At 45.2% G+C, this 26291-nt stretch overlaps 1 protein-coding gene across 3 annotated transcripts in view, besides 1 other annotated feature; it reads right to left on the minus strand.

The window, feature by feature from the left end:
- ATXN7L1 (ataxin 7 like 1) overlaps positions 1-20057 on the minus strand; it is a 271828-nt gene extending 251771 nt beyond the window's left edge. For 2 of the 3 annotated variants that reach the window (NM_020725.2, NM_001385596.1), the window contains exons 1-2: positions 19836-20057; positions 19270-19338 (exon numbers count right to left, since the gene is read on the minus strand). In NM_020725.2, coding sequence (NP_065776.1) covers positions 19270-19338; positions 19836-20016 — 250 coding nt within the window. In that variant the 5' untranslated portion in view covers positions 20017-20057. The remainder of the gene's footprint in view (positions 1-19269; positions 19339-19835) is intronic. The other variant, NM_152749.3, reaches the window with a different exon arrangement.
- Positions 20100-20309: a silencer, noted in NCBI's record as "silent region_18524". NCBI's record gives its function as "represses an Ori minimal core promoter by ATAC-STARR-seq in GM12878 lymphoblastoid cells {active_cell/tissue: GM12878}" and the evidence as "EXISTENCE:reporter gene assay evidence [ECO:0000049][PMID:35858748]".

Here is a 26291-nt window from a genome sequence, read left to right on the forward strand (position 1 = left end):
GCCATTGCACTCCAGCCTGGGCAACAAGAGTGAGACTCAGTCTCAAAAAAAAAAAAAAAAAGAATTTAAATATTTTATTCTTTATAAAGCATATGCTAAACAGCTTTTTTAAATCAGTAAAATGTATAATAAACATATATTTCCATATGCACTAACTTTTTTAGATAGCAGATTGTTAAACATTTACTAGCACAACACTGATTCTAATAGAAAAGAACTTACAAATTAATTGGTCAGCAGCACCCAAAAAGTGTGTGTGTATGTGTGTGTGTGTGTGTGTGAGACAGAGAGAGAGAGAGAGAAAATAACTCTCCCTCCAGCACCCTGAATGGAGAAAGCAAAACAAACACTAACACTACCAAAGAAAACAGAAGGCTGTTTTCTGAAAACTCTACTTCAAAAAAAGACGGCATGGAGTTAGGCACTGAGTGTGTCTACAACTGGAATAAATTATGAACTGTTTCTCTTTGGTATTAATGGAGTTTCACCATAATTTCTTTTTCTAAAAGCAACCTCTTGAGGAACTCATAGCCCTCAAAGCCTTTGCTTAAGCTCTTCCTTCCCTGTACAATGCCCTGAATGTCCAAATCCTAGCTGCTGTGTTGCCTCTGCACGAGGTGTCCATTCATTCATTCTTTCATTCATTTTTCAAACATTAACTTGACTCCTACTAACTATCCTTTACTGTGGCCCATGTAAAACCACAAACCAAACAGCCTCTACCTTTAAGTCAAAGGTCTGAGACCCAGGTTAAAGGTCTGGCTGACCATAGACTGAGATATCTTCCTTCCCTGGGCTCTAAGGCATTCTAATCACATTTCATTTTCTAAGCAACATCAGAGTTCCCAGGTGCTGCAAGTGAGTTCCTAGAGGGCAGGGCCACTGTTCCACCTTCACATTCCACACAGAGCCCAGCCCAGGGCCTTCCACCTCCTGGACAACTGGTCACTTTCTACGCAGTCAGCAATGCAGGAAGCACAGCTCTGGCTTCTGACTTGCAGAGCATCACTCATCATGACTTCCCATTTAACTTCAGTGGTTCACCAGACCCAGGCTAAATACTGTGCTCCCTCTGAAAGGTGGGAGAAGGATTATTTTAAGTATAATTATCTTCTTCCTTCCCCAGGTTAAAGTAGAGGGTCACTTGACTGTGTGGGATAATATTTCTCAATGTTTTTAAACTCATGCTCTACCAAGATTGGATCACACTTTACTTCCTGAGGTTTGTACTACAAAGCTCACTTTCTCTCTAAGACTTCCCACTGATTGTGGTTTTCACACTATACAAGCATCTTCTTGAAATTCTAGTGTACCCAGTCCTAAACCTTGTTCCTCCTTAGCTTAAGAATCACAGGCCATCACCTTCACCTTCAAGATTAGGCTACAGGGGGAAAAAAAAAAGAATCATAGGCTGGTGCAGTGTTCATGCCTGTAATCCCAGCACTTTGGGAGGCTGAGGCAGGAGGATTGCTTAGGCCCAGGAGTTGGAGACCAGCCTGGGCAACATAGCAAGATCCTGTCTCTACAAAAAATAAAAAGTTGGTGTGGTGTGGTAGTATGTGCCTGTAGCCCCAGTTACTCGGAAGGCTGAGGTGGGAGCATCGCTTGAATCAAGGAGGTCAAGGCTGCAGTGAGCTATGATCATGCCACTGCACTTCAGCCTGGGCAACAGAATGAGACTCTGTCTCTCAAAAAATGAAAATGAAATAAAATAAAAGAATCATCAGTGTTCAACTACTTACTATGAGCACTGATAATTAAAGAGAAAAACTTAACTCTGCCCTTTTAGGAGGAATTTAATAGTTCATCCCCTGTTGATGGGAAAGATGTCTTCTATATTGAAGAATGTCAACCAATAAAAGCAGATCAGAATGACAGAATTTGAAAATGACCATCCTACAATCCCCAAAGAAATAACTGATCCAGGCAAGGGTCATCAATGAATGCCCAGAGGATTCCACAAAATTTCCTTTTGGGGGACAGGATATTCACTGGGTGTCAAAGCATTACCCACAGAATGACATGCTAATTGCAGAAGGAAAATACAACGTTTGCAATGGGCAGCAGTGGTCACCACCTTACGAAGTCATCCATATCTAATAATAGGGCACCCTGATATCTTGTAACCCCTGGATGGGATGCTTAATGAAGCACTCAGAATCACCTGGGACACATTTGCACCAAAATGTTGAGTCTGAATCCAATGATACTTAAGCTCAAACTTCCAGAACAGGAGAAAAACAGGGAATAGCAAAAACAAGGTAAGACACCACAAGGAAGTGACAAGACAGACCAGAACAGGAAGCATTTTAAATGGCAATGTTTTATATATTTATATATAAAAATATGTATACATATATATAGAAATATGTATTATACATATATTCACACACATGTGGGGGAGGGACACTGTTCTAGATTAAAAGCTACTGAAGAGATATAACAACCAAATGCAGTACATGAACCATAACAGGATCTAGTTTGAAAAATGCAGCTATAAGCTTTTGGGGGTGGGGGCATGACAGGTGAATTTTGAACGAGAACTGGGTATCAGATATGAGTATGGAATTACCATTAGTTTTCTAAGTGTGATACTGGTATTATGATTAGGCCAGAGAATGCCTCTAATTTTAGGAGATGCATGCTGAAGTATTTAGGGGTGTCATGCTGTCTGTGACTTACCAAATAGTTCAGCAAAAACATACATACATATTTATGTATGATGAGGCTCTGAGAATTTAAGTGAACAGCTCAAGGTAGCACAATCAAGATGTGGAAAAATGATAAATATTTAAAGGTGAAGTGTCGTGATGTCTATAACTTATTTTCAAATGCTACAGAAATATAAATATATATATATACACATACATATACATATACACACACACAGTCGCATAATGACACTTTGGTCAACAACAGGCCCATACTCAGTGGTCTCATAAGAGTATATAATACCATATTTTTTACTGTACCTTTTCTATGTTTCAATCTGTTTAGAGACACAAATGCTTACCATTGTGTTACAACAATTACCTACAGTATTCAGTACAGCAACATGCTGTACAGGTTTGTAGCCTAGGAGCAATAGGTTATACCAATGGGAATATCATAGAGTGAACTTACACAAACCTAGATGGCATAGCCTATTGCACACCTACAAAATCACCTAATGACATAACTCTCAGAACATATCCCCATCATTAAGGAATGCATGACTGTATATTTCTTTTTCTTTCTTTCTTTTTTTTTTTTTTTTTTGAGACAGAGTCTCGCTCTGTTGGCCAGGCTAGAGTGCAGTGGCACGATCTCAGCTCACTCCAACCTCTGCCTCCTGGGCTCAAGCATTTCTCCCACCTCGGCCTCCCAAGTAGCTGGGGTTACAGGTGTGTGTGACCATGCCTGGCTAATTTTTGTATTTTTAGTAGAGATGGGGTTTCACCATGTTGGCCAGGCTGGTCTCGAACTCCTGACTCCGGGTAATCCACCCGCCTTGGCCTCCAAAGGCTGGGATTACAGGCATGAGTCACGATGCCTGGCCTGTATATTTCTTTATAAGACATATATACAGATAGATCTTTATATGTAAATATATATATATATATATACATATATATATATATATATATGAAAACAAGACAAAATGTGAACTAATGTTTAATTCTATAGGTGATCATGGTACCGTTATTTCAACCTTTTTATACATGTGAAAAATTTTAACACTGAGCTGCAAGGGCAAAAAAGAGAATGGTGCAGAGTGGGGGTTACTACTGAATATTAAATGAAAAACTTTAGGTGCTCAAAGATGTCTGTGACTCTGCACCCCAGCGGTAGCATTTTTTCATGGAATTTTCTCTGCTGACCTAGGATGCTGGAGCTAATGTCCTAAGGTGAGCTGTGTTTTGCATTGTAGCTCCAGCTATCCACTTGAACAGAAACTTTAGGAGTCCTTCCAGTTCTTAGAATCTTGACAACTTCAAAATATCAGATGGTGAATCAAAAAACCTCATAGGCCATCTCCAGACTGACTTTTTAAAAATGAAAATACAAATGGGAACTGTTGTTTCATGGGTATGAAGTTTCAATTTTGTAAGGTGAAAAGAGTTATGAAGATTGGCTACACAATCATGTGAATGTCCTTGACACTACTGAACTTTACACTTGAAAATGGTTAAGATGGTATAGTATTTTACCACAATTTTCTTAAAAAAAGAAAAAGACAATACAGGTATTTCAAAAACAAGATGCTTAGTCGAACTATAACACTGCTGGTTGAAAGATAACTTAGGAAAGAAAAGGGGATGATATGATCGCTTTTCCTCCACCTTGCCTCCAGAAGATTCTAATGCAGCTATGATGACAAGACACATGTGGACCATGGGAAGAGTCTGCAGCAGTGCAAGGAGGTGCGAGATTTGGGGGCAAAGTACACGCTGGGCATGGCTAGCATGCACAGGGTGCGGAGAAGGTCCAGGCGGGGTGGCCCGAGCGGCAGGGTGGCTTCCTTAGAAAGTATGGCTGGCCCTGGGGAAGGAGGATGAGGGGCAAGGGGAAGGGGAGAAGGGGAAGACACTAGATGCAGAGGGCAGGCAGAGGCAGAGAAGGGGGCAGGGAAAGGACTCCACTTGTCCAAAGTGCTGCTGCAAAGGGCAGGCCACCTGTCCGGATAGGAAGGGACTGAGGACTTTGAATGCTGTGTTAACTGGTCGATGAGGGAGTGCTGAGAGGTTTTCACTTGAGGAACAAACTGATACATGTGAATTTTCAGAAGATTAATTTTTGAAGTGGTGTGCAGGGAAGATACAGACAGGAAGACCAATTAAATAGCTATTATAAAAATCTAGGTAGGCTATGAGGCAGGCTAGCTGGGATGGGGGTGGGGGAGTGGAGAGAGATGGAGAGGTGCAGGGAATTGCTAAGATGGGAGGGAGGGAGGAGAGGAGGAGGGGGTCTTTCTAAAGATAGTGATGGGGAAAACGCACAGGCTCGGCTTGCTCTTGGGTCTAGTGGAGTCTGAGATGCACAATGACATCTGTGAGGGGCTGTCTGGTGCGGCACCCGGGGGTGGGATGAGCACTCTGTGGAGGAGAGGTCAGGAAAGCTGCAGGCATGTCAGAATCGCCACACACAGGGACCACCTGGGGTGTGAACAGGAGCCAGGGTCCGGAGCAAATGCAGAGCAAACCGAGGGCAAAGCCTCACGCTCCAAGGGAGGAGCTGGCAGAAAGGGCACAAAAGCGGGTGCCATGAAAACTTCTGTGAAGCAAATATGATTTTCAAAAAGCTGTAGGGTTGTCTACTGTTTAAAGAAATGCCCAGTAACTCCATTTGGAAAGCAAATAAGCCCCTACTCTGTTTAAACCTGGCTTGTGTACCGGGTTTGTGTTCTGCCATTAAGTCTTTTGTCTCAGCCACTGAAAGTGGCAGGACTCATCTGAGTCCCTAATTCTCTCTGGGTCCTGCCCCGCTTCTGCAAAAGATGATGAGGAAGGGCACAATGATGGAAGGAGTAACTCAAGGGAACAGAAGCCTGGAGTCTGGGGACTTGGCTAACAGGGCTGTTGTACATGGGTTGGCCAAATGGATTCAACCTTAAGCAAATGTAACCAGTTCTGGTGGGCGTGGTGGCTGACTCCTGTAATCCCAGAACTGTGGGAGGCTGCAGTGGGAGAATCGCTTGAGCCCAGGAGTTCGAGACCAGCCTAGGCAACATAGGGAGACCCCGTCTCTAAAAATAATAGAAAAAATTAGCCAGGCATGGGGGCGTGCACCTGTGGCCCAGCTACTTGGGAGGGAGGCTGAGGTGGGAGGATCACTTGAGCCCGGGAGGTCAAGGCTGCAGTGAACTATGATTGTACTACTGCACTCCAGCCTGGGCGACCGAGCTACTGCCCCTTCCCACCCAAAAATGTGACCAGTTCCTCTTTTCCAGTGGATCACCCTCTTCTTGACAGTCTGGCTGGGATTCTGTCCCATTAAGTGTAAAAGGTGCTTGAACCCACAAGCTCCAGGTCCTTATCAGAAGAATCAAACCACCAGCTGGTAGACAATGGGGTCTGGGGCCCATCGAAGGTCACCTGAAACCCCACACAGAGGAGGTGATTAATTAGGAGAGGGGACAGCACTGAGGAGGAAAGGACTGTCAAGGACTCTTCTGGTCTGTGAAACCACTGAGAGAGAGACAGGGGGGTGACACCAGCTCCTCTGGGACCAGCAGGGCAATCACTATAAAATGCTTAAATGTCCCAGTTAATGGAGAATGGGTGAAATCCAAAGTCACGGGAAGTAAATGTTGCCACATCGCCCTGTCCTCATGTGGGAGATGCATTCTGTGCCTTTCCCAGCCACTCCAATCCAAAGGATCCTCTTTGTCACTGCCCTCTCAGAGACAGTGACAACTAGGGCATCTCTGTGGCTGAAGAAGGTAAAGGACTTTCACACCCACTTAGCAGGCATATCACCATCAAAAGGACACCTCTAATGTGGCAGTATTGAAGAGTGATCTCCGCTCCATCATCCTAGAGAGCACACCCTTCATGAAATTACTAACAATCCCAATGCCATGAGGGAAACTGAACAGCGGCCTAGAAGATGTTCAAAAGGAGGAAAAAGAGAGAAATCATCACTCTAGATAGACGCCCCTGGAGTTGCTTGGCAACCATCTTTGCTAACACCTTCTCCCAAAAAGGAACACAGTTTGCATTAGCTCCTGTGATTTCCCTGAGGCCAGGACTCTGGCCACAGAGGCCCCAAAGCTGGGGCCTTGGAATGAGAGAGCGTTTCCCTGATGGGGAGACCCAGGGCCCTATCAGGAGGCCACTGGCTTACACAGTCAAGGGGGAATGAAAGGTAGTTCAGCCTTGCCATTTTGCTTAAAGAACAAGCTCTCTTGGCCAAGGATGGTGAGAGGATGAGTGAAGTCAGGTGCCCAGGTGCAACACTTAAGGGGCACTCACTCCGCACTTGCAGAAGCCCACGTGAGCCCCTCCTTAAACAGGTGTCCTGGGTGCCTGCTTGCTTCCCCTTAGTCCTAACCCTGCTCCTAGGATGACAGACATCAGGACACAGTGCTTAGAGCACAGTCTCTGGAATCAGCCTGCCTTGGGGTTCAGGGCAGCTCTACTATTCCCCAGCTATGTTACCTTGGGTAAATCACTTGACCTCTCTGAGCCTCAGCTTCCCAATCTCTGAAATAGGGTTGATAACAGGATTTGCCTCACAGGGTGGTCATGAGGATTAAATGCGAACATGCACATTTAGCCCTGTGCCTGGCACCTAGTTAATGCCCAATAAAAGACAGCTAGGATTGTTACTTAAAAACAAAACAAAACAAACAAAAAAACACATAAGTTGGGCTGTGTTTAGCCCAAAAGGTACCAGAAAAATAAATTTAAAACACAAACAAAAAACTCCAAAAGGAAATACATAAGCAGCTCCCTAGAACCCCTGAACCTGGATCTATAGAATCAGAATCTCTGTGGGTGGTCCTGGCATATTTGCTTTTAAAAAGCTTCCCAAGGAATTTTCAAGGTAGGCAGGGTTGAGAACCACTTCTCTCAACCAATAAACAGTAGTTCTCAAAGTTCAGGAAACAACAGAGCCACCTGAGGAGCCTGTTTAAAATGCACGTTCCTGGTCAGGTGTGGTGGCTCACACCTGTAATCCCAGAACTTTGAGAGGCCGAGGTGGGAGGATCACCTGGGCTCAGGAGTTTGAGACCAGCCTGGGGAATATAGCAAGACCTTGTCTCTACTAAAAGTCAAAAAAAATTAGGCAGGCATGGCAGCACACGCCTGTAGTCCTAGCTACCTAGGAGTCTGAGGTAGAAGGATCGCTTGAGCCCTGGAGATCGACGCTGCAGTGAGCTTGATCATGCCACTGCACTCCAGCCTGGGTGGCAGAGAGAGGCCCTGTCTCAAAAAAAAAAAAAAAAAAAAAAAAAAGGACATTCCTGGTTCCTGTGCTTCACTCCCGGTTGTTTCGTTTTAGTATGACCAGCCTGGGGCCGGGGGCACGAAGTACCCTACAGGACAACACAGCAGGGTCTCCAGAATGAACACACTTTGCAAAACATTGAAACAGATTCATTCGTTTTTTTTTTTTCTTTTTTTTGAGACGGAGTGTCACTCTGTCCCCCAGGCTGGAGTGCAGTGGTGCAATCTCGGCTCACTGCAACCTCCGCCTCCCGAATTCAAGCAATTCTTCTGCCTCAGCCTCCCAAGCAGCTAGGACTACAAGCACATGCCACCATACCTGGCTAATTTTTGTATTTTTTTTAGTAGAGATGGGGTTTCACCACATTGGCCAGGCTGGTCTCGAACTCCTGACCTCATGATCCACCCGCCTGGGCCTCCCAAAGTGCTGGGATTACAGGCATGAGCCACAGTGCCCAGCCCCAGATTCACTCTTGAAACTAACAGTACAGGGACACCAGTCCAATCCCTTTGTCTTTATTCGGGGCATCCTTAAAGAACTGGAGACATACAAGTTGACAAAAGATGCCTGGTGAGCCCCGGGCATCCCCCGGAGCAGTAAGAACGCAGTCTGTCCCCTGGAAGTGGCAGCTCTTAAGACAAAGGCGAAGACCCAAGTGCCCGGTAAAAACAACGATCATCACAACAAAGGCTTCCATTACTGAGTACCTACTTTATACCAGATAGCATCTCATTTATTTCCACAACAATTCTGATAGGTACTATTATTCCTACTCTGGAAAAGAAAAGTAGAAATTGAGGCTTAATTTAATACACAGCCAATAAATGGTCAAGATTTAAATAATGCTCCATTAAACTCCCAAGCCTGCAATGCCAATGAACCTTTTTGTGTGTGGTAAAATACACATAACATAAAATTTACCATTTTAACTTTTTTTTTTTTTTTGAGACAGAGTCTCGCTGTGTTGCCCAGGCTGGGGTGCAGTGGCGCGATCTCAGCTCACTGCAACCTCCGCCTCCCGGGTTCAAGTGATTCTCCTGCCTCAGCCTCCTGAGCAGCTGGGACTACAGGCACGTGCCACCATACCCAGCTAATTTTTTGTATTTTGAGTAGAGATGGGGTTTCACCGTGTTAGCCAGGATGGTATCGATCTCCTGACCTCGTGATCTGCCCACCTTGGCCTCCCAAAGTGCTGGGATTACAGGCGTGAGCCACTGCACCCGGGCCATTTTCACCATTTTTTATGTGTACGGTTAGTTCTGTGACATTAAGTATATTCACAATGTTGTACAACCATCACCACAGTCCATCTCCAGAACTTTTGCATCTTCCCCAACTGAAACTCTGTATCATGGCAACACTAACTCTCCGTTTCCCCTCCCCCAGCCCCTGAATACCCACCATTCTACTCGCTGTCTGTATGAATCTGACTACTCTAGGAACTTCATTATACATGGAATCACAGAGTATTTGTCCTTTTGTGACTCATATACTTTTTGAGAACTGGACTATCACCTTGGTCTGATATAACCAAACTGGGACCATGTCTCCAGCATCTTCCATACCCCTGGAATGCTGAACTCACCTGTGGTTAATATCATCGGACTGGGTGTCCTGTGTCCCCACCCCACCCCAGGACTCTGTGGCCTGTCAATGCCTTGAGGTAAGGTCACGTAACTCACACTCCCCCTACAGTTAAGGGTATCCTTACACCATTAATGTTCACAGATTTACAATTAGCATCACAGAATCAGGTACACCGGTAAGTGCTTCTGTGTTCAAAGAGCCTGTCATCGACTCACTTTTATCTTCCCCATTATGGTGACCTGGTGCCACTTCGTCCTGCCCTGGAGAGTATTTATTTGGTTTCCATTTCTTCTGTAAGCACTTGATCCCTTAAAATTGGCAAGCAGAATTGTGTTGAGAAACCACAGGTACAAGGATAAAGTGTCTCCATAAAAACATTGCTTTCCCCACAGCAGAATTCCAGCTTCACTTATAGACGACTAGGGCAGCCAGGTCTAGCCCCTGAATATTAAGGATGCTCCGCTGTAGCCTCAGCCCACTTGCAAGAAGGGATTTCCTGAGGTTTCATCATTAGTTCAAGCGCCTCAGGGTCCAAATCCAGGTCCATTTGGCAGTCTGAGCTCTACCACAGGAGAGAGTAAGAGAATGCCAGCCAAACGGCATCAGCTGGGAGCACGTAATCAGCAGAACACTGGACCGGGAGATTTAGGAGACAGTCACACACAGAAGTCAGTCCTTGCCATTCCTACAATATTCTGAAAAAGTAGAACCCACTGGCTAAAGCTCTCCCTCTCCATTACGGCTATGTTTGATTATTGCAATCACTCAGTGACCACTGTCTCCAGATGTGAATAGTGGGCCACCTCAGTGTGTGGGGTCCTTAGAGAAGAGGGATTTGACCAGGACAAGGTCTCACTGCATTGAGTACTACCATCTTATGCCTACTTCTGAAATATGTCATGAATGAAACAAAATGTCATAAACGAAACGTTAACCTGAAGGATATAAATGCAACCAACCCGGAAAACCATACAGAAACAAATCTGCCTAACTTTTCTAAATCAATTCTGCAGCAGAGACGGCAGGCCCCTGGGAACCGCCGGCTGAAAGCATCAACATGGCCTCACAGTCTTAACTGATGCTGCAGACCACCTGGCACACAGGTCAGAAGGCCTCAGGAATCAGACCCTCCCCTGCCCTTTGTACCTTCCCAGGCTTAACATGGAAATCATGAAAGCAGCCACTTTGCTTTCCGTCATGTGCATCCCCATTTCAGACATATCCCGTGGGTAATCAAACTGCAGAGAACGCCAGTTGTATTTTCAGCCTGACTTTAAATATAAACTGAAATCCTTACTGCTTCACCAATGCGATGTGGTACTTTTGACATCGGGGGCCACTGTATAATAAATGCCATCATTACCAGAATTGATGCTTTGGGTCTCCTCCACCCACAGTGAAGGAGGGTTGGGCCACCCAGAATTAGAACCTGCAACTCACTATTGTCACCAGTGACTGCAGACTGGACTCCAAGGTTTGGAAGAGTCATCTTGGGAACTTTGGGAGGAGGGTTCCCTGGGGGACCGAGGCTTCTCTCTCTTTAGATCCTCCCAAATGTAGCTCAGCGCCAGGGGATAGTCACAGTACAGGTATATCTGCTGAGTAATCGACAAGGCTGACTTACATGGGCTGAAGGCCTAACACATGGACAGATATTGGCAGAATATTTCTGTATCTTAGTCTATTTTTCTTGTGTTCTTACCTCTCCAGCCTCACCAGCCAGTGATTCTCTATCAGAGCGATTTGTCCCCCTGGGACATTTGGCAATGTACGGAGATATTTTTGGTTGTCTAAACTTGGGGGAGGGGAGGGAGACACTGCTGGCATCTAGCAAGTGGAGGCGCAAGATGCGGCTCAGCATCCTGCCATACACAGGACAGCGCCCCCAAAAAGAAGCATCTGGCTCAAACCATCAGTGGTGCCACTGGTGAGAAATATTATACTACTGTGTGCTTTGCTATCTTTACTCCAGCAAGAGGACTTTTTAGGTTCAGAACAGTCTATATTCTCTGGCACTTGGGCCTTTATCCCTGTCGTTTCCTCTAACTCTGTCCTGCCCAGCTCTACACATGGGTAACTTCCTGTATCCTCCAGGTTTTAGCTTACATAAAATTTCCTCTGGGAGGCCGGCACTGAGCCCCTACCTCAGTGAGGCCCCCCCACCATGACCTCCAGCAGCACCTGAGTTTCCCTATCAGAGCACTCATCGCGGTCTACCTGTACTTTCGCCACCAGGCTGGAAGCACCCTGAGGGCAGGCAGGGGTTGTGGTTTTTCACTGCTGTGTCCCTGGTGTCTAGCCCAGTTCTGGCACGTCAGGAGAGCTCCCTCCAGGTCAAACACATAAGGGAGGCTGAGAAACAGTTGAGCGTATTAAAAACTTGGCAAGACACCCAGAGGCTTAAATTGTTACCCTACTATGCAGGCACCAAAAGAGAACATGGCGACTTCTCATGAACTGACATGGACAGCTCTCTAAGATAAATGGAAATGGCAAGATATCAGCTAATACTATAGGTTTCTATCATTCACGTGAGAACAAGAAGACAAAATTATATATGTATCTACTTGAATGCACACAGAATATCTTTGGAAGAATACACAAGCAACTGGGGATGGGGTGGGAGGGAGACTTACTTTCCACTTGGATAGCCTTTTGAATTTTGTAACATGAACATTATTAAAAAAAATAAGTAGTTTTAAAATGAATGTGTATGTGTGTGTAATGGTCTACATCTTCTAGCAGTAAAAACATTATTCTCATAGAATGATACAGGATGAGACCCTGGTACAGGGCAACTTAGAAGGCAAATTATCATATACAGTGTTTCCGTGTGTCCATTCTAGCTTCCTGTTGTGGAAGTAGACAGAGCCACATTTCTTCCACACGGGAACCCAGGCACAAGGAAATAATTGTATGTATAAAGAAATACTCATTTTGGAAGCTTTGTATTTTCCAAACTAGATGATCAGGATGTCCTTTCTCATCTGTGTTGTGTTGGTTGTGGCATGCCCCTGCTCCATCAGTGGGCTGCACCTGTAGAGCTTATAGGTCTCCAAGCCCTTCCCTTCTCCGTCTCATCTTTCCTCCCTACCACCTTTAAGCCGCTCCATCTCTCCCATCCTTCCATCCCAAAAGCTGGGCCAGATAAGAGAGATGATAATGTAACGCCAAAGTGAACAAATGTTACTGCTTGTTAGCAAAAGGGGAGGAAGGTAGGCTTAATGGGGAATGAAGTTGAAATTAATGGTAAAAATGAGGTTTATCTGTGTAATCTGTGGACTTTGTGTCTTCCCATCTCCTATTAACATAGATAACAGAGTTGTCTATAATGATAAAGGGAAGCTGTTCGCAGTTTCCCATAAATCTCCATGGCCTGCTGCTGGCTTCTCTGGCTTGGATTCTAAGAAAACTTCATTCTTAACCAGGTCAGTTGCCACCTTCTCCAATTTGCTCCCATCCAGCCACAACTGCAAGACTCCTAAGCCTGAGCTGAACATGCTCCTATGTTCTCTGCACCCTCCTATATTCCAGCCCAATTCCACCAGCATCTCAGAAGAACAGCAAACTCTTATAGTCACAGCAATATCTTACTGGCCCCAGCACAATTTTCAAATTGGAAACTTTCCACCAGTTTATCTACATCACATCAAAACATGTGGGAACGTTAAAACACAGGCAAGTTTTCAAAGTGACAAGTGTAGGCTTCCAAGAGACCCAAACAGGAATCTATTCAGGACTTTTTTTTTTCTCAGTGATAAAATAAAACAACTTATCGATCATTGAAAAAAGTTTTTTAGATCTCCCAGTCCCTAGAAAGAACTTTGTATAAACTCTTCTTAGCCATAGGCCATATACAGCCTAAGTATTATTCGACAGCTATTGATAAAACTTATCAATGATCACTTAACTGCACTCTATTAAAAACATTGATATCTGGCCGGGTGCGGTGGCTCATGCCTGTAATCCCAGCACTTTGGGAGGCCGAGGCGGGCGGATCACAAAGTTAGGAGATCGAGACCATACTGGTTAACACGGTGAAACCCAGCCTCTACTAAAAATACAAAAAAATTAGCCAGGTGTGGTGGTGGGTACCTGTAGTCCCAGCTACTCGGGAGCCTGAGGCAGGAGAATCACTTCAACCTGGGAGGTGGAGGTCGCAGTGAGCTGAGATCGCACCACTGCACTCCAGCCTGGGTGACAGAGGGAGACTCCATTTCAAAAAAAAAAAAAAAAAATTTGATATCCATAGAAATTGTTTCTTTAAAAAATCATTAGTGTCATAAAATTACAACAAAATGGTTTACTCTAAAAATAAAGTTTCTGCTACGTATCTTTTCTTTTCATCACAGATTAGTTTAAAATCCTAATTAGAATAAAGTTTTCTAGAGCTAGCTTCATTAATAATGATAATAATAGTAAAAGCCAACATTCATTAAGCACTTACTATGTGCTAAGCCCTTTTGTATTATCTCATTTAATCATCACAACAACCTTATTCTTTTCTGTCTTATAGTTAGGGACACTTATGAGGCACAGGAACCCTATTCCTTATCTATGAATTGGTATTCTTTAAAAAAAAATTCAGGTGAGGCAAGGGGAACATCTTTCTAAATCACTGAGAGCTTTTCCCTAATTAGCTTGAAAAAGCTGAGGAGGAAATTATTTGAAAAGGTTAGCACAGAAGAATGGCCGTCCTTGGAATTTTCTCTCATAAACACCTTTCACAGATTAGGCTAATAAGGTTTCTGGGAGTCCTCCTCTCAGGAAATCTGAATGCCTGACTGATCCAAGCTGACTGGGGTCAAATCATTCCTCACTAGGGGAACACATTGGGTTTTGGACTCAGAACCCCACTTTTCTCGGAATGCTGAAGGCCAAATACCATTCACAAATGATTTGCAGCAGAATATTGCTTGTGTATGAGATGCAGTGATTTTTGCCACCAAGAAGTTATAAATTGAGAAAATAAACCCAGTTATTTTTGAAGTAGTTTAAGATATTTTTAATGTGAGGGCTTGGGTTTTTTTTTTTTTTTTTTTAAGTTTCTTTAGAAACAGTTTGCCTGCTATAACTGCATCTCAAAGGAAGGTACATTCAATAGAGAAGCTTGGGTTCAGAGGTCTCAAAGGGACCTTAGAGGACATTCAGTTCCACCCCCCTTTCTTTAAATATGGGCAAATAGGCCAAGAGAAGTGAAACGACTTCCAAAGGGCATAGATCAAAATGTAGGAAGCTGACTCAAAGTGCTATCCTGCTCCTTCCAGTACCCAGGTTGTCCTGGATATAAGCCCATCTAAGCATATCCACCCATGGATCTAGCAACGCCTTCTGAACCCAGGTGATGACAACATTCAAAAGTATTTGGGGCCAGGTGCAGTGGCTCATGCCTGTAATCCCAGCACTTTGGGATGCTGAGGCAGGCAGATCACCTGAGGTCTGGAGTTCGAGACCAGCCTGGCTAACATGGTGAAACCCATCTCTACTAAATATACAAAATTAGCCGGGCGTGGTGGCGCATGCCTGGACTCCCAGCTACTTGGGAGGCTGAGAAAGGAGAATCGCTTGAACCCACGAGGTGGAGGTTGCAGTGAGCCAAGATCATGCCATTGCACTCCAGCCTGGGCAACAAGAGCGAGATTCTGTCTCAAAAAAAAAAAAAAAATTGGCAAATTCCTCTTAGCTATAATTTAGCTAATTTTAGATGAAATAATAACAATGACATGAAAACTTTATTACAGACATTTCAAAGCATCCAGTTAACATTTCATACTTTATAGGTGGAGAACTGAAAGAAATGGAAAGAATTGAAAGAAAGTTTAAAGGGGTGAGGAATGGGGAACTGTATTACAGTAATCAAGTTATTCAAAAAGTCTGCAAGTCCTTGCTGTGTCTTCTGAAGTTGTGGCCAGATAGAGGTAGAAACCAAAATAATTTTTTTTTTTTTTTGAGCTGGAGTCTCGCTCTTTCGCCCAGGCTGGAGTGCAGTGGTGCGATCTTGGCTCACTGCAAGCTCCGCCTCCCGGGTTCACGCCATTCTCCTGCCTCAGCCTCCCAAGTAGCTGGGACTACAGGTGCGTGCCACCACGCCCGGCTAATTTTTTGTATTTTTAGTAGAGATGGGGTTTCACCATGTTAGCCAGGATGGTCTCGATCTCCTGACCTCCTGATCCACCCACCCCAGCCTCCCAAAGTGTTGGGATTACAGGCGTGAGCCACCATGCCTGGCCAAACCAAAATAATTCTTATTTCACATTTCCAGCCTAACTTCTCTTCCTGAGTTTAGTCTATTAAAAATATATGACACCAATGTTCATAGTGGCATTACTCAAAATGGCCAAAATATGGAAACAACCCAAATGTCCACCAACAGATAAGTGGATAACAAAACGTAGTATATATACACAATGAAATATTATTCAGCCTTAAAAAGGAATGAAGTACTGATCCATGCTACAACATGGATGAGCTATGAAGAGATGCGAAGTGAAATAAACCAGATACAAAAGGATACAGATTGTATGACTCCACTTATATGAGGTATCAGAATAGGCAACTTCATAGAGACAGAAAGTAGAACAGTGGTTACCAGGGCTGAGAGGAATGGGGAATGGGGAGTGATTGCATAATGGGTACAGAGTTTCTGACTGGGATGATGGAAAATTTGGGAAATGGAAAGTGATGATAGTTGTGTAATATTATGAAAGTACTTAGTGCCACTGAATTGTATACTCAAAATGGTTAAAATGATAAATTTTATGCTATGTATATTTTACCACAAAAAAAAAAAAACATCAAAATCGGAACCACCCGCCGGGCACGGTGGCTCATGCCTGTAATCCCAGCACTTTGGGAGGCCGAGGCGGGTGGATCACGAGGTCAGGAGATCGAGACCATCCTGGCTAACACGGTGAAACCCCATCTCTACTAAAAATTCAAAAAATCAGCCGGGCTTGGTGGCGGGCGCCTGTAATCCCAGCTACTTGGGAGGTTGAGGCAGGAGAAGGGTGTGAACCCGGGAGGCGGAGCTTGCAGTGAGCTGAGATTGCGCCACTGCACTCCAGCCTGGGCGGCAGAGCAAGACTCCGTCTCAAAAAAACAAAACAAAACAAAACAAAACAAAACAACAACAACAACAAAAATCGGAACCACTTCCCTTCAATTCCCAGTTGGAATTTCTAAACTGTATTTTGTTCATTCATTCCCATTAAAGCCGAATTTCTTCTCAAGACCTGCTTAAAGCCAACAGTGTCATGGACAATCTACATACATTCATAAGCACAGGTACACAGCCACACACAGGCTACTTTGTGTCCTGCAGTGACCCATCCACAAACATGTATCCGTCCCAGGACTTTGTTGATCACTCCAAAAAGAGGGCCCATGGCAAGCATTACTGGAGATCCAGGTAACCAAATAAACACCCTGTCTCAGCTCAACCCTTCAATTTCTCACCATGGGGGAATACGTATTCAGTATATAGATATTTTATCTATAAAGAAAACTGCATGCATATATACCAGAAAGACCATCAGGAATTGCTCACCCAAGTCTGTTCCACCAGGCCTGTGAACAAAGAGATTTCAGCCCATATATGGCTATTTTGGTGAAGTTAGCAATTTCAAGTTACACTGAACAGTGGGTGTCCTTAATGCAAATATGTATAATTAGGAGCTAAATCTTCGTACCTTTATAGGACAAAGGACCTAATAAGCGGGATGTACCACCTGTGACTTCTGAGGAAAGGAGAGCTTTTCATTTTTTCTTAAAAGAATCCGTTTCTCAGCCAGGCACGGTGGCTCATGCCTGTAATTCCAGCACTTCGGGAGGCCAAGTGGGCAGATCACGAGGTCAAGAGATCAAGACCATCCTGGCCAACATGGTGAAACCCCGTCTCTACTAAAAATACAAAAATTAACTGGGTGTGGTGGCACGTGCCTGTAGTTCCAGCTATGCAGGAGGCTGAGGCAGGAGAATCGCTTGAACCCGGGAGGCGGAGGTTGCAGTGAGCCAAGATCGTACCACTGTACTCCAGCCTGGCGACAGAGTGAGAATCCGTATCAAAAAAAAAAAAAAAAAAAAAATCTGTTTCTCATGAGGCAAAGAGAATCTGAGAACAACAGTCTTCTGAAATAGAAACAGGGACTGGGGGGAAAGGATGTGAGTTTTGTGTGTGATAGTCATAACGCATCACCCAGACCTGAGAGGTGACAATCCTGTGCTATACCATGACCTTTACTCAACTTTAATTTAAAGATTTCCACAGCCTCATCATCTTTTATGGACACGTTGCCAGTAGCCTGATAACTGGGTCTTGCAAGCACTTAGAGATCTCAAGAGTTTGTGTGTGAAGAAAAATAATCTCTAGTGATGCTTCCCACTGCCAACACACATGAACATTTAACACAAATAAGCTGCCACTTGTAAGAAGTCCACTTGACATCAATCCCTCGTGCATCCTGAAGACACCTGTCAAGATCACACTAAGATATTTAGAAGCAAACATCTTTAGAATAATGTTTTGTTCCCAAAGTGCTTAATTAGCAGAAACATTATGCTAGGGAACTGTCCTTGAATATGTACGCATTTTAACCTTCATGTTATTTTTTCTGAAGCACAAAATTTCCTCTCAGTGGATGGTCAGGAAATGATTGGGCACAGAAAACCAACCATCTGAAGTGTTGATTCATAAAATGAGTTCCATCTTTCCACGCAGGCTTCAGCTGCCTTCCAGGGTGACATCCCTTTTTATGAGGGGGACCATTCTTTGGCATCTAATGGCCTTTTCTCCATTCATTTGGGATGACCAATGCACCTATGGCCTACTTATGTCTGAACTCTTTCAATACCACCAACCTCTTCTGTCCCCTTGTGCCATCTTCCCACCCCCAATTTCAGCCAATTATGTTTATAAGACATCAGTTAGTGAATCACAATTCAAATGAATCCACCTATTTGCTTAGCAGCAAGTGGCCCCCGGAGTTGCTCCATTTGAAGCCCATAGGCCAGAGTTACATACGGCAGGCTTGCAAATGAGAACAGGATATGATTTATTTATGACGACCATATGTGTTTGATGCCCAATTGCAGCAGGTTGTGGCTTCTCTTGCATATCTTGGTCTGGGATGACCTATCTACTCAGTGTGTCCCATTTCAGGTACCGTATTTCCATGCTGGGAAAAGAGAGATGATGACTGCTGAGGGGCTGCACATACAGATGCTCCTAACCCTGCTTGCCACATAACAATCTGTGACCAAATGCAAAGTGGGCCAAATGTAACTTGCTGCAAAGGTTTGCCATGTACAATGGTTTTCAGTGGTGAGTGGAGAAGTAGCTGCTGGAATGACTGACCATGTGGGGTTCATTAAGCTGTTGTGCATTCACCCACGAGAAAGGCTGGGATGCTTGTGAAGGGAACTCCACTCTTCATTTCAGAAATTTTAACGCCCCACCATTTGGCAATGATGCTCCCAAGGAGAATGGCAGATATGCATCAGAAGGTTCAAACGTGGAGTCCAACTGAAGTGCAGTAAACTTCTGCCTTCAACAGTCTCACCCCCCTTTACCCCCCCCCCAGTTGTATTTATACTTTGAAAGAAGTTAACATGAAGCAGTAGTCACCTGGGCGTGCTCAATTTTTGACAAGCCTTAGTCACTCTGTACCCAGCAGAACAATTCACATTATATTCGAAATCCTGTGAAGATTCTGCCACACATGCTAACACTAAAATGCCAGTAGCTCCACTTACCTTCTTTATTAAGCCTCATAACCTCCCTGCTTTTTCCACCCTCTTTTCCAGCCTCTTCTAAATCTACATCTGCAGATGAAAAAGAAAAGGAAAACAGAAAATAAGGAAAAAAGGGGGGAAAAAAGCCAAAGTCAAGGGGGGAGGGAGAGTGTTTATTTGCAAACAGATCGATATAAATACTGTATATGAAATTCTTTCAAAAATTGACAATGCAACATTTTCTCCCAAGTCTGGGTTTCCATCTACCTGGCCCAGATAGGTACCCAAAAAACTATGCAAGCAGCAACAAAGTAGCCTTTTAAACGGACAACACCGTGGGGCTGCGAGCCCACCCCGCGGGCTGCCACGGGGAGCCGGGCACAGACAGACAGACAGCCCTGGCAGCCGGGCCTCTCCCTGTGCATTGATGATCTGTCTCTGTGTGTATTTATTTAGAGAGAGAGGGAGAAGCATGGAGGACACCGGGGGCCACTCTCTCTCTCACACACACACTTTTTCCCAGTGGCTCTAGGTGAATGGAAAGGTTACAGGATAATAAAAGGAGGAGGAGGTGGTGGGGTTCTTACTGTCGGAGCAGTGTAATTTGGCGGCGTCGATCCAGGAGGACCAGGGTTTGCCCAGAAACGCCTCCGGACTGGGCACTTTGCGATCCAGTGTCGCCATTGCTCTTCCTTCTTGTTGCTTTTTCCCTGTTCCTTCGGCAGCAGCAGCCGAGAGACACGGGATTCGAGAACGCTCCGACGTCATCTTCGGAACGTTCCGACATTGAGTGTTCTGAAAGGGGGAGGGAGGGAGGAAGGGCGGGATGGGAGGAGGGCGGCGGAGGAGGAGGGGAGAGGGAGCGGAGGAGGGGCGGGCGCTCGGGCTCCCGGAGCCGGCTCGGTGGGGCTCGCGCGCCCGCGGCCGCCAGGGGCAGCAGAGAGGCACCTGCAGTCCGCGCCCGCCCGCCCGCCGGGGCCGCCCGCCTGCCGGGGAGGGGCAGCGCGGACGGGCGAGCGCCGCGTGCGGGAGAGCGAAGGCTGCAGCGCGCCCGGCAGCCGGGATGCAGCGGCGCCGCCCAAGCCTGGGGCGCAGGGGTCGGGGCACACGGGGATAGGCCCGACGCGGGGCCGAAGGAAGGGTGGTCTTTCCCGCAGAGTTGCCGCTGGAGGACCGAAAGTTTTGCAGGCAGCCCTTGCTTCCAGCTTGTCGCTCTCTCCCCGCGTCCCTGTCGCCCAACGCGAGGCGCCCCCGCTGGGGTCCCGACGGCTTGGTGGGGAGGAGCCGTGAGGGGTTGCGCCCCCCACCCCCACCCGAGCCAGGGAAGGGACCCTGGTGACCTCGCCTCCCAGCCCTCACCCCCGTCACCCCTTTCTTCTCTTTCCTGGAGGACTTTGGACCATGGAGATTCTGCAGTTGTTGCTCTAGGAGCTGAAACCAGTGGGTAGATGTCGTTCTGAAACGCAGGTGAGTTTGGAGCGCTACGAGCTACCTTCCCATCTCAGGCTGCGGGGCGTGCAAAACTCAAAAGTTAGGGCCCCCGGACCCCCGGGTTCCCCGCGCGGTGCGTATCTCCGGCTCTCAGAGAACCACTGCATGGACTTTGCTCCAGGGTCAGCAGAGCGGGAGGGCGAATTTACGGCTCTTGGAAGACGACGCTAACGGGCCTAGCCCCTGAGCCGTTTCCAGCGCTCCCTGCCGTGAGACGAGGGTGGCCCGGGTTTGCGCAGGCAACCTTTGGCCAGGAATCTGATTCCTGGGAGAATTCACTTCAGGCTTAACTGCTCTAGCCAGCTAGAAAGGGAGCGCTAGATTTCCTCTGGATTTTGGACGTTGGGTGCTTTAGTTGAGATTTTCACCCTTTAAAGAAGGCTTTAAAAAGTCTTCTGTTACTTCTTTTTAACAAATCCTTTTGTTTACTAGAATTATCTAAACTATATGGACACCGCCCTCACCCCACAAGCGACATATTTTTTTTTCTCTTTCGCCAGCACCCTTTTAGCTCTCACCACTGCTGTTTCCCAAGTTGTCACAGCTGAAGCGCACTGATTGGAAGTTGCTTTGTACTGACTGAGTTCTGCCCTGGCTGAACCATCTAATAATTTCCCTGAGCTTGGCACCCTGTATCGCTAAGCCAGTGTTAGGATGGGCGATGAAGGAGGAGCTGCGGATTTGCCTTTAGTTGTGATGTTTGTGTGAGTCGGCTTGTTTGTGTCAGACTCAGATAAACTGCATTTGCCTTTGCTCTCTTTCGAAGGGCTCCTACATAGCTAAGGTGTCGCTGGGTGAAGAATTCCCATTGTAAGAATTGGTGGTGTTAACAAATATGTATTACTTGTTGACCTCTTGTTATATGCTAGACCCTGGGCTTGACATTTCCTTCCTTCCTTCCTTCCTTCCATCTGTCCATCTTAAGTCAACCAATATTGCCTGTCATGGAACAGCTGTGCCCTCCTGTCAGGAGGGAAAGATGAGTGAGACCCATCCTCACCCTCACAGAGATGCAGTCTGGTGGTCTCTGGAAGAAGGAAGTTGTGAAACTTACCGATTCCTTGGGAAAACAGGCAGGTACACAGGGACTGGCCTGTGCAGTGGGTGGGGTGGTCTCTCAGCTGTGCCAGTTCATAGAGGAACCGAAATCTAGTTAGGAGTGAACAGAAACTGCGTAACAGAAGATGGGCTCTGCTCTGCATCTTGGAAATTGCCAAAGATTTGTAATGGTAAGGTGAAGACTGGTCTTGCGGAGGGAGGGGGAATAATGGTATTAGCAGAGGCTTCAAGCTGAGTATAAACATGGTGTGTTTGGGTGTTGAGCATGGTTTGCCTGGGATGGAGAATTGTTACTGGGGGCTTGGGGGTGATGCATTTTGATACCCAGGCCTGGATCAAATTATGGAAGGCACCAAACGGCAGCCTAAAGAGTCTGGATTTTGTTTGACAATGGGGAGCTACTGAAGGGCTTTCTGTACCATAAAGATAAGTTAAAAGTGTGAGTTAGAAAGATTGGAGTACGGAGCCTGGTTAGAAAAGTAGTGCTGCAATATTCATGGTGTGAAGAGATGAAAGCCTGAACTTTGGTGGTGCTATGCAGGTAGAGAAGAGGAGACAGGTGTGAGACTGTGAAGAGAGCACCTGATCAGAGGGTGTGCTGTTGGGCTAGATTTAGAGGTGGGGAGAGAGAATGCGAGAGCTCTGAGGCATGAGTAATTAGATGCTGGAACACTTTCCCTTTCCCTTCTGCTTCCCTATTTTCCCTCTATTTATTATCTATTTTGATGTTTATTCCTGTGTTGTTGTGCATGCAAGGAAGGTGTAGGCAGCAGCTAATGTGGCCCCAAAGGTCTGTACCTCCTGGTGTTCATGCCCTTGTGTAATCCTCTTTTCTTTAGTGTGGGCTAGACTTAGTCACTTGCTGATAACAAAGAGAATATAGCAAAAGTGGTGGGATGTCATTTCTGAGGTTAGGGTACAAAACTGCTGTCACTTCTGTTGCTCTCACTCTCTCTTGCATGCCCTGTCTTGCTCTAAGGGAAGCCCACTTCCATGTTGTAAGCTGCCTTATGGAGAGGACTGTGTGGCAGGTAACTGAGGGAGGCCTCTGGTCATCAGCCAGTGGGGAACTGAGGCCCTCAATACAACAGCCAGTGAGGAGCTTAATCCTGCTAGTAGCCATGTGAGTGGGCCACTTGCTGGGAGTCAGTGACTTGAGCTTCCAGAATGCTGTCTCCTCTTCTGGGAGCTACTGTAAACCACTCAAAAAAATCAAAGGTGGCTTATCATCAGAAGTCAGGACACCTCAGTTATAGTGAAGCAAATCAGTGGTTCCATATTTTAACATGAGCTTACTTTCCCAGCAGAGTCTGTCAAGTGGAGGTTACTACACAGGACCTTGAAGAGAGTCTGACAGCCCAAATATTATTTCCTTCTATTTGGGATGATTTTACTCCACAGTACGGTAAATTGTGGGCTAGAATCTAAAAGTGATTTAGCATCTCTACAAAAGAAGACTTCACAGGCATTGCCACATTTAATTGATAACAGAGTATGTCTACATTGTTGCAGTTAGTTATGGAGTATAATTGTAGAGTTGCTTTACTCTAAGCCTTCTCCAGTCTCTCCATTGACTATAGACATAATAATACTGACTTGTTGAAACTATAACCCATCTATGACTGTGTTGGATAACATGACTGTCAATCAAATTGCATAACTGAGAGGCAGAGAATAAAGAAAGCATCGCTCATCAAACTACTAGACATTTACACTTGACTTTGGATGAAAATTGAGGTCAGTTGGAAGTAGTGTTCAGGTTTACATGCTGTGTATGTATTATATACATATCAATACTCATATATCAACTATATATGGTGATCGATTTATTACAGAATTGAATTCCTTTTGGTAGTAAATAATTACAAATGCTGTTAGAGGCAACAAGAATCTAATACATCCTTAATAAGGATAAAGTGACCTGTAAAACAGTAATTTAAAGCATATTAGTATAATGTCTATGTGATAAAACTATCTAGCAAAGGCAAAACACCCTCTTCCCCTCATGATTAATGTTTAGGAAGAAAAAAGGATGTAAATATTTTTATTGTTTTATTATCTTTCTTAGGAAAATGACAGTGTGGTTGGTTTAATTAAAAGGGAGAGTCTCCCATAGACCAAATAAAGAAATCTGTTCTGTTTTAATGACAATGGAAAATACCTATTTAACTTGAATAACACCTGGTTCTGTAGAAATGTGCATCTATTATGTATCCTGCATTCACTTAGTCTGATTCATGTGCTGTTTCACCACATTACTGAAAAGAAGAGAAGAGGGAATGTTAGCTCTCTCATTTGAGGATATTAAACTCCTGCCGTGGTTGAGGCACGGTGTGAGCACCCTACTTCCTACCTAGACTGTTGGGAGTTACCTGGAGGCAATGAGGAGAAAATGACATGTTCCATTAGAATGAGGCATCCCTGGAATTATTTGATGTTCTTTGCCTTAATTGAATCCATCTGTCCCATCTGCCACTCTTCTCTCTAAATTTATTTCCCTAACCCTTTCTCCCTGAGAATTATAATTTGGGGGAAATTTGTTACCTACATTGTTACCTTTTATAAAAGCTCTCGGCATCTGGAGGGCAGGTGTGCCTTCTACTCTGCCTTGCTAGACAACTTTACCTGCCTCTTTCCTGCCCCTTGCAGGCTGCTGGATTAAAAACAGGACTGGATAAAAGGCCCCCAGTAGCAACAGGAGTGGGAACGAAAATAGAAATTCCAGGCTTTTACTTATTGGTTTCAATACAGAGCCCTAGCCATGTGCCAGGCCTGGCTAACCGTGGACTCTATTAATAAATATAACTACACAAACATTTGCATTCTGACTGGGTCAGAACAGCCAGCACGGGAGTGTGTTATCTCAAGGGAAAGCTGTCTTAAAACTCTTGACTGATTCACCTGTGACTTTGGCCAGTTGGTGCTCCCTGGAACTGCTCTGGTGCTGAAGGTTGAGGTCATCTCTGTTCCCCAGAATGTGGCAGATCCAGCCCCATTCCTGACCACTATCCTTTGCAAGGACGAGACAGGAGAGATGATAGCTTCTCTTTAGGATTCTTGTAGAAATCACTTTTGGCCCTTAACCTACATATAAAGAAATTTAACATTAATGTACACATATTGATTTGAGCAAAGCCCATCCATATCTCCAAACCTACCATTTACTATGGTGCAGGAGGCAGTACAGGGTGGAGGCCAGAGCATAGGCTTGAGATGGGCAGGTATGAATTAGAATTGCCCTTTAGTCATTTGCTTGAGAACCTGCCTTGATCCTTCTGAACCTCAGGCTCCTCATCTCTGAAATGGGTAGTAAAGCTCTTCTCTTGGGATTGTTGTGAGGATTAAGTGAGATTCTGGATACTGAGCCCCAGGCATAGGGCCTGGCACACAGTGGACAGTGGTTCAATGTTCACTGTGATGATTACTTCAGTTTCAGTGCATCGTTTAGACAGCAGCTGCCAGTCAGAGACAGGCTGACACTGACCTAGGAGTAGCTCCTCTGGTTGCTTCTGACAGACATCCTTCTGCTTAGAAAGGAAACTTAAAGCACTTCTCTCTTTTACACGGAGCTGCTGGCCTGCATCAGTTATGTGGAGGCCTCTGTCTGAAACCTCTGCCCAAAACCTCCTCTTGACATATACATCATGGTAATATATAAATATACCTTTATTCAGGAAAGGTCCTAAAAGACCGTTTGCTATGCAGAGGGACTGCAAAATCCAGTTTGGTTGCAGACAAAACTGCCTTTGCATGATGAGGTAAATAGTTGTCTTAAAACTAAGTAGAGTGTGATTTCTGCTTGTTATTGTTTTCTTTGAAAAATTTGTTTCTTCCATAAAAGAAACTTGACAGTGAATTTTGAAAATCATGTGATATAGTTTGGCTGTGTCCCCACCCAAATCTCAACTTGAATTGTATCTCCCAGAATTCCCATGTGTTGTGGGAGGGACCCAGGGGGAGCTAACTGGATCATGGGGGCTGGTCTTTCCCATGCTGTTCTCGTGATAGTAAATAAGTCTCACGAGATCTGATGGGTTTATCAGGGGTTTCCGCTTTTGCTTCTTCCTCATTTTTCTCTTGCCGCTGCCATGTAAGAAGTGTCTTTTGCCTCCCACTATGATTCTGAGACCTCCCCAACCATGTGGAACTGTAAGTCCAATTAAACCGGTTTTTTTTTTTTTTTTTTGGAGACAGAGTCTTGCTCTGTCACCCAAGCTGGAGTGCAATGGCACAATCTTGGCTCACTGCAACCTCCGCCTTGCAGGTTCAAGTGATTCTCCTGCCTCAGCCTCCCAAGTAGCTGGTATTACAGGCATCCACCACCACGCCTGGATAATTTTTGTATTTTTAATAGAGATGGGGTTTCACCACGTTGGCCTGGCTGATCTTGAACTCCTGACCTCAGGTGATCCACCCACCTTGGCCTCCCAAAGTGCTGGAATTACAGGCATGAGCCGCCATGCCCGGCCTAAGCCTCTTTTTGTTCCCAGTTT

The sequence above is a fragment of the Homo sapiens genome, chromosome 7 (assembly GCF_000001405.40).
Source record: "Homo sapiens chromosome 7, GRCh38.p14 Primary Assembly".
In the NCBI taxonomy this organism is placed as follows: Eukaryota; Metazoa; Chordata; class Mammalia; order Primates; family Hominidae; genus Homo; species Homo sapiens.